General features: G+C 41.5%; 1 long non-coding RNA gene across 1 annotated transcript in view, besides 1 other annotated feature; it reads left to right on the top strand.

Moving 5' to 3' along the window:
* The window catches only part of CARNMT1-AS1 (CARNMT1 antisense RNA 1), a 44,418-nt gene continuing 31,978 nt past the window's right edge, over positions 8-12,447 (top strand). The window contains exon 1 of the long non-coding RNA NR_121183.1: positions 8-160. This is a non-coding gene — a long non-coding RNA (CARNMT1 antisense RNA 1). The remainder of the gene's footprint in view (positions 161-12,447) is intronic.
* Positions 11,844-12,416: an enhancer, noted in NCBI's record as "H3K27ac-H3K4me1 hESC enhancer chr9:77579717-77580289 (GRCh37/hg19 assembly coordinates)". NCBI's record gives its function as "activates a minimal SCP1, AML or CMV promoter by ChIP-STARR-seq in primed H9 embryonic stem cells {active_cell/tissue: H9 hESC(primed)}" and the evidence as "EXISTENCE:reporter gene assay evidence [ECO:0000049][PMID:30033119]".

The following is a 12,447-nucleotide window of genomic DNA, read 5'->3' on the forward strand; positions in this document are numbered from 1 at the left end:
GCTCCCGAGCGCCCTCGCGACCGGAAGTGCGCGCTCGGGGGTAGGCGGGAAGGCCGCGGCGGGATTAATTAAAGACCCGATCAAGCGGCCCGCAGAGGGGCGTGACCTTGTTTCCTCAGGAGTGTGGCGGTGGTCTTACTACTATGTTCGTTATAGCGCGGTACGTTCTAGACCCTTCTATAGGAAATTTAAAACCTTTAAAATGTGTATTTCCTTCCTCCAGTCAGTGACCACGGGGGCGTCTCCATGAGATTAAGACAAAGATTATAATAGAGTTCCAGACTATCCTGGGCAACATAGCAAGACCTCGTCTCTACAAAAAATCAAAAATAGGCCAGGCTTGTTGGCCTGCCCCTGTGGTCCCAGCTACTCGGGAGGCTGAGGAGGAAGATTCACTTGAGCCTGGGAGGTGGAGGCTGTAGTGAGCCAGAGATCGCACCACTACACTGCAGCCTGGGCAACAGAGCGAGATGCCGTCTCAAAAAAAAAAAAAAAAAAAAGGAAAAGGATAATACAAGCTTTAAATAAAACTAGTGTTTAAGAAGCTTCACAGTAGGTTGTTATTCAAAACAAAAGACTGAAGGGAGTCTGGGCTGAGGGAAGTAGCTAAAGCTAACAGAAAACACAAATCGAAGTGTATGTTTTGCATGTTTTGCGCAGCTGCTGTGGAAGGTGAAGCAGGCCCTACATTCCTGGAAGATCTCTTGATTAAAAACTTATGGAGGAAGTTACAGACAAAATGTGCAGCTCATCCAAAATAGCTGAGTAGTTGGCAAGAACCAAGCCTGAAGCGCAGCTGTCCTTTCTAACTGAAACCTAAAATTGTTGGGCTCTTAATTAATGTTGGAAGGCTGAGTTCCCTGCTTACTATGGGCGGTGGTCAGATCAAGATTCTATGGCCATTACAGCAAAATAGTGTTGTCAGGTGAAGTGAGGTGGAGACAATTGCAGTATATTTACTATTTTATTATTTTTATTTTTTATTTTGTTTGAGACAGGGTCTCTCTCGGCCACCTAGGCGGGAGTGCAGTGGTGCCATCACGGCTCACTGCAGCCGGGCCCCACTGAGCTCAAGCGATCTCCTGTCTGGGCCTCCCAAAGTGCTTGGTTTATAGGTGTGAGCCACCGCATCTGGTCGTATTTACTATTTTAATAGTTTGATAAAGACAGTAACCAAGTAAGCAGAAATGGAAGGAAGAAAATAAGACTATTACCAGTGCTTTGAAGGGAAAAACTATCATCCTCTGTAGAAAAAGTGTGCAAGAAAGATAATTCTATTTTAGTGCTAGGTACTATCTCAGTACTAATTTACCCTGTACCCCTGCATCTCAAGGTGGTTGTGAGAGGACAAGTTAATTATTAGTTATTAACAAGCACAGAAATGTACCAAGTTAGGGTAGTAAGCAATAGCTTTTCTGTTTGGTTTTTACTTTTCTTGTTTGAAATTGGTAACCGGCCGGGTGCGGTGGCTCACGTCTTTAATCCCAGCACTTTTGGGAAGATGAGGTGCACAGATCACCTGAGCCCAGGAGTTCCATACCAGCCTGGCCAACATGGTGAAACCCCATCTCTACAGAAAATACAAAAATTAGCCAGAGGTGGTGCCTTGCACCTGTAGTCCCAGGGAGGCTGAGGTGGGAGGATCGCTTGAACCCTGGAGGCAGAGGCCAAGATTGCACCACTGTACTTCCAGCCTGGGTGACAGTGTGAGACCCTGTCTCCAAAAAAAAAAAAATAAATTGAAAACCCGTCTGTCTCAAACAGAGGAAGAGTTTTGCCATTTTTAAATCAGCAGGAAAGATCTTAATCGTAGTCATCAAGTGCTGTTTGAAAGGTTTTGAGTACCCCCAAAATAATAAGTTTAGCTAATGGTTGGTTCTTTTGTGTTCCTCTTTACAAACGCTCATTTTTTCAAAATTGTGAAACTTATCATATATGCAAAAGGTTGTATAAAATACACATGTAGTTAAAAGAATGATAGTAAGACATACAGCATTCTGTTTCAGAAATAGAATACTACCTATACTAGAACATGACAAGCTCCCTATGCGTCCCTTCCCCACTGGCACATACCCTTCCCTTTCCCTCACTCCCGGTAATTACCGTTTTACATGTTGAGTTAATCATTCCTTTGCTTTTTAACTCTTCCATTTGTATGTCTGTATGTATATTGCTAAATAACTTTTTTTTTTTTTTTTTTGAAACGGGGCTTGCTCTGTTGCCCTGGCTGGAGAGCAGTGATATGATTACAGCTCACTGCAGCCCTGACCTCTCAGGGGCAAGCAGTCCTCCCACCTCAGCCTCCTGAGTAGCTGAGACTACAGGTGTACATCACCACACCCAGCTAATTTTTAAAATTTTTTTGTAGAGCCAGGGTTTTGCCACGTTGCCCAGACTTGTCTCAAAGTCCTGAACTCAAACAATCTGCCTGCCCTGGCCTCCCAAAGTGTTGGGATTACAGGCATGAGCCACCACACCCAGCTTAATATATTTTCTGAGACCAGGTCTTGCTCTGTTGCCCAGGCTGGAATGTAGTGGCGTGATCACTGCTCACTGCAGCTTCAACTTCCTGGCCTCAAGCAATCCTCCTGCCTCAGCCTCCCAAGTAGCTGGGCCCATGGCTTGTGCCACCACACCCAGCTAATTTTTTATTTTTAGTAGCAACAAGGTCTCACTATGTTGCCCAGGCTTGTTTTGCCGGGCTTTTTTTTGTTTTTGTTTTTAAAACAGCTTTACCTAGGTCTAAATGACACACAATAATGTGCATATAAAGTGTACAATTTGACATTCATACACCTGTGAAACCATAACCACCATCAAGATGATCAAAGTTTTGAGAGCAGTCTTTGACATCTTGTTCTTTAGGAGTGTGTCAACTATACTTGGCCCTTTGTTCTTCCATAATAGCATCCTCTGTAACATTTAGTTACCCTTTTGGAATTTTGGTTATAATTGCATTGAGATTATAGATCAATTTGGGAAGAATTATTATCTTTACAATACCAAGCTCATTTCCTGTTCAAGAATATAACTATTTAAGTTTTTAAAAATCTTTCAATAAAGTTTTATATTTCTCAACATAAAGAGCTTATATCTTTGTTAAGTTTATCCCTAGGCACTTTATAATTTTTGTAGACAATATTCTTTTTCTTTTTAAATAACATTTTCTGAGTTTTTGTTGCTGCTCTGGGTTCTTTTTTTTTTAAGGCCCCAGAAGTAGAATTTGAAATTAGTTTACCCTAAGTTGTAAGTAGTACCAGATCCACTTGTTCAAGGAATTTGTCCATTTCATTCATCACATTTGTTGGAATATTTTCTTAGTTTCTCTTTTTCCCATTTCATTGGCTTCTACTAAATTTGGATTTACTTTGCTCTTCTTTCTCTAGCTTCTTCTAATAGAACCTAGGTCACTGATTGTAGTCTTTGTTAGTTTCTTTTTGGAGACAGAGTCACTCTGGCTGGAGTGAAGTGGCACGATCTTGGCTCACTGCAGCCTCTGCCTCCCAGGTTCAAGCGATTCTCCTGCCTCAGCCTCCCGAGTAGCTGGGACTACAGGTGCATGCCACCGCACCTGGCTAATTTTTGCATTTTTAGTAGAGGTGGGGTTTCACCATGCTAGCCAGCTTGGTCTCAAACTCCTGACTTCAGGTGATCCACCCACCTCGGCCTCCCAAAGTGCTGGGATTACAGGCGTGAGCCACCGTGCCCAGCCGTCTTTGTTAGTTTCTAAAATAAACACTTAAAGCTGTAACTTTCCCTGTAGCACTGCTTGGGCTACATCCTACAAATTTTGGTATGTTGTATTTTTATTATCTTTCAGTTTGAAATACTTTCAAAATTTCCTTTCTTGTTACTCTACCTCCTTCCTATCGTTATGAATTTCATTTTAAGTTAACCTATTGGTATTTACTTAGCTATACCTCTTTGAATTAATAATGTGGTTGCCATAAGGACTGTTCATATACATCTTTATTTTTTCACAGTCTAGTTCGAGCTAACATTGTACCACTTTATGTAAAACATAAATACCTTGCACCCCTCCCCCTGCCCTATCTAAATGCATTTTTTATTGATGTAATAGGATCTTCTACCTATTCTACATATCCCATAATTTTGTGGATAATAACTCAGAAGTCATTAGTTACAACAAAACAACAAAGAAGGGAAACTTTTTTTCTTCTTACTGAAAAAGGAATACACACAAACTTATTCTGCTTATCTTTAAACTTGTGTGTTTCAGACTAACTGAAGCCTCACAGCAGTGTAGGGTGGGGAAGTAGTTTAAAATTTTTTAATTGCCAGAACTTTTACATATCTCATTTGATCCCAAAAACTTTGGGGCAGATTATTGCCAGTTTAACAGATAAACCTCTCCTCTGAGCATCAGATCCATGTGACTTCTCATGAGTCTACCTTAACCACCTTATTTAAAATTGCAACTCACTCTACATTTCTCCTGACTCTTGATTCCCCTCTTTTCCCATAGCATGATTACTTTCTAATCTATTATATATTTCACTTACTTATTACTCTTATTGTCTCCCTTTCTAGAAAGTAAGCTTGTTGAAGGTAGGGTTCCAGTTTGTTTTTTGGGTTTTGTCCCCAGTCATATACTCAAAGTGACTAGCATGGTAGGTGCTCAGTAAATATTCGTTGCCTGAATGAGTGTCCATTATTTCCATCTGGGTGTTCTGTAGGCATCTCATATTCCATCCTCCAGTGTCATCAGTCATCTATACAGGTACCCATACCAGAAATATAACTGTATTCTTTCATAATCACATTCACTCAATTTATTCTTTGAATACATATTTTAAGCATCTGCTACAGACCAGGCACTGGGTTACAACAGTAAAACAAAAATCCCTACCCCATGACTGTCCAAGGAATCTTGGGGGAGACAGACAATAAATAAGCACATCTATCAGGTGGTGCTGAGGAAAAATAAAAATAAGGCAGGATAAAAGGTCAAGATGGGCATCTCTGACAAGACTTTTGGGCCAAGACCTGAGGAAAGTGAGGGGGGGCAAATCATGTGATCCTAGTCAGATGTAATAGCAAGTATGAATGTCCAAAAGTGTAAAATAGCAAAAGCATGAGCAAAGGATGGCAAAAAAACAAAAACAAAACAAAACAAAACAAAAACCCAGTGCTGCCTTTTCCTCAATGTTTTGTTTTGGGTAGTGTCTGTTTCTTCAAGTTCACTAGTTCGTTCTCTTGTACCTTATCTGCTGTTAACCCCACACACTATTTTTTCATCCTACACAATGTACTTTTCATCTCTAGTTCCATTTGGGTCTTTTTTTCTATCTTCCAAATCTAGGTAACTTTTTGAACATATGGAATACAGTTATTCTGTTTTAATGCTCTCTGCTAATTCTGACATCTGTGTCAGGTCTGGTTTGGGTTCACCTGATCTTTCTCCTCTCTATGGGTCGTGTTATCCAGCATACCTGGTATTGTGTTTGTCAGCATACCTGGTAGTTTCTGATCAGACACCAGATATTTTTTTACTTTGTTGGGTGCTATTTTTGTATTTCAATAAGTATTCTTGAGATTTATTCTAGGATGCTGTTAAGTACATAGACATAGTTTGACCCATTTGGATCTTGCTTACAAGATTTGTCAAGTGGGACCTGAGCTTTTTTAATCTAGGGCTAATGACTCCACATTACCAAGGCAAGACTTCTCTGTACCACACCTAGTGCCCTACACATTTTGAGGTTTTATAGTCTGGGTGTGAGAACAAACACTCTGGCCCTGTGTGGGCCCTGGCTACTGTTCTGATACTTCAGGTGCTTTTTTTCTCTGGCCATGGTTTGTTTTCTCACACATGCACTGATCAGTAGTACTCTGAAGATTACTCAAGGGGCACTGTCCTCATATCTCCAGTGTTCTATGTGCAGCTACCAATGTTTGTATCATATTGGTTATTAAAATTTTAATAAGTGATTTTGTGTGGATAAGGATATGCAGAAACAGATGCTCTCTTTGTTTTAAAGTGTAAGTTAGTATAACCTTTTAAGAGAGCAATCTGGGCAGGGTGTGGTGGCTCATGCCTGTAATCCCAGCACTTTGGGAGGCCAAGCCGGGTGGATCACTTGAGGTCAGGAGTTTGAGACCAGTCTGACCAATGTGGTGAAACCCCATCTCTACTAAAAAATACAAAATTAGCCAGGCGTGGGGGCATGCGGCTGTAATCCCAGCTACTTGGGAGACTGAGGCAGGAGAATTGCTTGAACCCGGGAGGCGGAGGTTGCAGTAAGCCAAGATCGCACCATTGCCACTACAGCCTGGGCAGCAACAAGAGCGAAATTCCATCTCAAAAAAAAAAAAAAAAGAGCAATCTGACAATATCTGTAAAAATTAAAAAATACACACACACATTCTGAAACTGTAACTCTAGGAACTTATACTCCAGATATACTACTGACAATAGACATAAACAACTATGTACAGGATTATTACATTGTGGCATAATGCTACATAGCAAAAGATTGAAAACAACCGAATGTTACTTATTAGTAAAGTATGGCCTATATTATGTATTATATTAATAATATTAGTATAATACATATAATATGGATTTTATGTATAATGGAATGCTTTTTTTTTTTTTTTTTTTGAGTCAGAGTCTTGCTCTGTCACCCAGGCTGGAGTGCAGTGGCGCGCGATCTCGGTTCACTGCAATCTCTGCCTCCTGGGTTCAAGCAATTCTCCTGCCTCAGCTTCCCAAATAGCTGGGATTACAGGCATGCACCTCCACGCCTGACTAATTTTTGTATTTTTAGTAGAGATGGGTTTCACCATGTTGGCCAGGCTGGTCTTGAACTCCTGACCTCAGGTGATCTGCCTGCCTCGGCCTCCTAAATTGTTGGGATTACAGGCGTGAGCCACCATGCCCAGCCTGTGCTTTTTAACTGAAGTAAATTTGTATTTATGGGTATAGAATAATTGTCAAAATGTAATAAAAAAGGTGCACAGTAGACTCTATTGGTCACAAATATATAGGCATTTCTCACAGATACTGCATGTTCAGTTCCAGACCAACACAATAAAGCAATTATCATAATAAAGTGAGTCTCACAAATTTTTTGGTTTCCCAGTGCAAATAAAAGTTATGCTGGCCGGGTACAGTAGCTTATGCCTGTAATCCCAGCATAAGGGAGGCTGAGGTGGGTGGATCAGTTGAGCTCAGGAGTTTGAGACCAGCCTGGGCAACACGGTGAAATCCTGTCTCTACTAAAATACAAAAAAAAAAAAAAAAAAAAAAAAGCCGGGCATGGCAGTGTGCACCTGTAATCCCAACTACTCAGGAGGCTGAGACAGGAGAATTCCTTGAACCCAGGAGGCGGAGGTTGCAGTGAGCCGAGATTGTGCCATTGCACTCCAGCCTAGGTGACAGAGCAAGACTCCATCTCAAACAAAACAAAACAAAAAAACACAAAAATTAGCTGGGCTTGGTGGTGCACACCTGTAATTTCAGCTACTCAGGAGGCTGAGGCAGGAGGATCGCTTTAACCCAGGAGGTAGAGACTGCAGTGAGCCGAGATGGTGCCACTGCACTCCAGCCTGGGCGCTAGAGCAAAATCCTGTCTCAAAAAATAAAAAGTGATGCTTACACTATACTATAGTCTATTAAGCGTATAATAGCATATCAAAAAAAGTATATACTGTAACTTACAAGTAACTTATTGCTACAAGATGCTAACAGTTATCTGAACCTGCAGTGAGCCGTAGTCTTTTTGCTCATGGAAGATGTTGCCTCAATGTTGATAGCTGTTGACTCATCAGGGTGGTGGCTGCTGAAGGTTGGAGTTGTTGTGCAATTTCTTAAGACAACAATGAAGTTTGCTGCATCAATTGATTCATCCTTTCACAGAAGTATCTGATGCTGTTTGATAGCATTCTACCCACAGAAGAACTTTTTCAAAACAGTAGTCAGTCTTCAAACCCTACCACTGCTTTATTGACTACATTTAAGTATTATTCTAAATTACTTGTTGTTATGTCAATAGTGTTCACAGCATCTTTATCAGGAATAGATTCCATCAAGAATTTCTTTGCTTAACTATAAGAAGCAACTCTTCACCTTTCAAGTTTTACCATAAGATTGTAGCAGTCCAGTCATATCTTCACTCGTAAGCTTTTTTCATGTCATTCCATTGGGTGCTCAAGAAGGGTGGGGGCATACATAGCAGGAGTCTGCTGTGATCCCCCCTGTAAAGCAAAGATATATAGTATAGCTGCCCCTGAGGTGGGGATAGGCACAAAAACCCACCTGTTTCCCTGGTTCATTTTCTGCCGAAAACGGAAGCCTTAAGCCACTGATGGAGGGTTAACAGACATTTTCTCAGGGCAGAAAATGCTTTTGTGGGAGGAACAGAGGCAAAACGTCTCTGCCTCAGAAGGAAGGACAAAGGCAAAGATCTTTCATTTAAGGAGAAAAAGTAGAAGCACAAATCTTAGTTTAGAGGAGAGAGACAGAAAATAGTTTGGGGCCTAGCATCCTCCACTGATACTACTGGGAGAGGAGTAGGAAATTCCTGCTGAAGACCAGTCATAAATACAGGGATAGGAATGCTAAGAAGGACACAATTCTGAGGCCAGGTGTGCAAAGCCTGCCTATGACTGAGGCTGAGCTAAGACAACAAAGATTCCTTATTGTCTCTACCATGAGCCTAGCACAGACTAACAAGAAAATGCAGTCTACCTCTGAGGGAGGGGCAAGAGCATGGAGAGAGAATGTCTTGGGAGCAAAGGCATACAGAGACAGCTGGAAGGTGGAGAGGGAGCTGAAACATTGAGGAAAATACCCTCTGGCATCCTGTCCTTTAAGCGCACAGGAAAAGCTCACTGCTAGAGGAATTTGAAATCTGTGATGTGCTGCAGATAACAGTAAGAAAACATAAACTCAGTTTCTTACAATACTGACTCAACCTCCCATACCAGCCTAACAGGCATGTATTTATAGCCAGACATAAATACTGTTTACCTCAGTTTCTGTTTTTTTCTACACACGATAAATGAAATTCAATATTATAAGACTCAAGGGAAAAAAAGAAAAAAAAAAACACCTTGTCAAGAGATAAAGCAATTAATAGAACAAGACTTGGAGGTGACTCAGATAAAATTTGAATTATCAGTTAAGGACTAACATTAATATACTATATTGAAGGATATAGTGAAATAGGTGGACAACACATTGACGCAGGGTGTTTTAGCAGAGATGAAAACTATAAAAAATAAATGGAAATGCTAGAAATAAAAAGCATGATATCAGAGATGAAAATCCCTTCAACAGGTTCATTAGTAGAATGGAGATAGCTGAGGAAAGATTCAATGTATTGGAAGATACATTTAAAAAGTCATTCTGAAACACTAAGAAAAAAATTACAAAAAAAAAAAAGCCCAGCGTGGTGGCTCACACCTGTAATCCCAGCACTTTGCGGGAGCAAGACGGGCAGATCACTTGAGGTCAGGAGTTGGAGACCAGCCTGGCCAACATGGCAAAACCCCATCTCTACTAAAAATACAAAAATGAGCCGGGCATGGTGGCAGGTGCTGGGAATCCCAGCTACTTGGGAGGCTGAGGCAGGAGAATTGCTTGAACCCAGGAGGCGGAGGTTGCAGTGAGCTGAGATCCCGCCATTGCGCTCCAGCCTGGGTGACAAGAGTGAAACTCCGCTTCCAAAACAAACAAAAACAAACAATAAAAACAGTGCCCAGGAGCTATGGAATAATAACAAGCAGTCTAACATACATGTAATAAAAGTCTCAGAAGGAGAAGAGAAAACAGGAAAGAATATTTTAGGAGATAATGGCAAGGAATTTTTCAGAAATAATAACAAAACATCAAACCACAGATCTAACCAGTTTAGAGAACCCCAAACAGGATAAATACCAAAACCAATTAAAGCAGCCAGAGGAAAAAAGAAACAGAAGGACAAAGTTAAGAATTATAGTGGAGTACTCATCAAAACAACAGTGACATTTAAATAAATAAATCAACCCCCAATTTTGTATTCTGTGAATAAATCTTTGAAAAATAAAAGAGAAATAAAGACTTTTTAGACAAAAGCTGAAAGAATTCACTGTCAGCAGACTATGATATAAAGTAAGTTCTCTAGGAAGAAGTGTGATGGCAGATAGAAACTTGGATGCGTACAAAGAAATGACTAGTGCTTTATAACAAGTTATCCCCAAACTTAAGTGAGTTAAAACAACATTTTCTCAAGTCTGTGGGTTAGAAATTCACCATCAGTTTGGCTGGGTGTTACAGTGTCGCTCATGTGGTTACAATTATGTGGTTGGCTGGGTGTGTGATTATAGGAAGGCTTGCCTGGGGTGGAGGATCCACTTCCAAGCTCATTCAATTCATATGACTCTTTGGAGGAGGCCTAACTTCTTCACCAAGTGGGATTCTCCATAGGGGTATTTCAGTATCTTCATGACATGTCATCTGACTTCCCCCAGTGCCAGAGATCTGAGAGAAAATGGAAGGTGCCATGTCCTTTATGACCTAGCCTTGGAATCACACATTTCTACGACATTCTATTCATTTAGTAAATTAGTACAGCCCACAATCAAGGGAACGGGAATTAGGCTGTTCCCAAGGTAGGAGTATCGAAGAATCTGTGGACATATTTTTAAAGCAACCCACACCAGAAACTATTCAAAAATGATGATAAATATAAAAGATTTTTTTTGTTAAAGAATTTAGTCTAAAGCAAAAATATTACCACTGTATTCTGGGGTTTATTACACACATAAAATTAAGATGTATGACAACAGCATAAATGATGCAAGAGAAATTGGAAGTATATTGTTGTAAGGTTCTTCTAACTATACATGAAGTGGTACACCATTTGAGGTTTGTATAAGTTGAACATGCATATTTTAAAACCTGGAGAAGCCACTGAAACCTTTTTTTAAATAAAGAGCTGTAACTAATAAGCCAATAATGGAGATAAAATCAAGAAAATACTCAATCCAAAAGAAAGTGAGAAAAAAGAAAATGGGACAAGTAGAAAATAGCAAAATGGCGAGATTACATTCAACCACATCCATAATTACTGTAAACTAATTTCCAATTAAAAGACATCAGATTGAATTAAAAAACAAGACCCATCGGTCTTCAAGATGGCTGATTAGAAGCATCTGGTACTCACCTTCTCCATAAAGAACCAAAATAGTGAATAGATAATCACAGTTCGAATAGATTATCTAGGAGAGAACACTAAAATTCAACAGAGAAGTGAACAGGAAACACCTAAAACAAGGAAGGAGAGGGAAGTGAGGCAGCCTGCTCAGCTGGGATTGGCTGGGAGCCTGTAGAGACTTCCCAATGAAGGGAAAGGGTAAGGGATAGACCCCCCAGCAGTCCACATTTTTATTGCAGACTCCTACAATCCTAACCACAGGAGAGCCCCCTCAATCCTTGTGGGCCCTGAGACTAACATAGGGAGCTGCTGGAAGACCATCTGATGGTATTGCTCCAGAAAGGGAGCTAAGGCTGAGTCTTGCATACCCTGAGTTCTAAGCAGCTACAGCAAGGTCCCATTTTGAGAGCCAGCACCTCCATGCGCCACCAGGCAGCCTGGGGACAGGTTTGCCTAGACTGGCTCTGTACCCCCTAGTCCCCGAGCACACTGTCAGGGGCCCTGGGGATTGCCCAGCTCAGCCCACCGCCATTGACGCCTGAGCACTCCTCCCAGGATCCTGAGGTCATCAGGCCCACCCAACCTGCCACTACCATCACAGATGTCACCCACCTGTATATGCCACCCTGTGAGCCTAGGGACTGGCCCTCCCAGCCTGTCACAGCCACTGCCAATGCTAGCATGGACCACTCGGGAACCAGAGAACTGTCCCACCAGTGCTACTGCCTTGGCTTATGCCATGCTGACTATCCAGGGGCCTGACAAACTGCCTACCTGCTCAGCCCACCATTGTCACTACCCAGCACCCAAGCAAGCCAACTGGAGGGCCAAGAATCTGCCCATCTGAACCTGCTAATATACCAGTGACAGCATACCCCACCCGGGGGCCCAAGGACAGGCATGCTCAGCCCACTCGTGCCATCACCGAGAACTGAGGACCAGCCCACCTATGTCCCTGTCCGCAGCAAAACTTCACCACAGCCTCCACTAAATGGACCCTAAGCCACTGAGAAAATCACAGACACCATTGACACTATTTATACCTAAAGAAAACATACAGAGACTACACTACTGCACACACTGAGAATCAAAGCCACAGTGCCCTACCCAACCAACACCACATATACATCTTCAGGAAAAAGTCCTCCACTATGAAAGCAAATCCAAAAAAATTCGAAGAAGTTACTGTTAGAACAGATGTGCCGAGAAAAATGTAAGGACACAACAAACATGAAAAAGCAGGGAAATATAACACCTTCAAGGGCACACAATAATTCTCCAGCAA

This window comes from Homo sapiens, chromosome 9 (genome assembly GCF_000001405.40).
Source record: "Homo sapiens chromosome 9, GRCh38.p14 Primary Assembly".
NCBI classification, from domain to species: domain Eukaryota; kingdom Metazoa; phylum Chordata; class Mammalia; order Primates; family Hominidae; genus Homo; species Homo sapiens.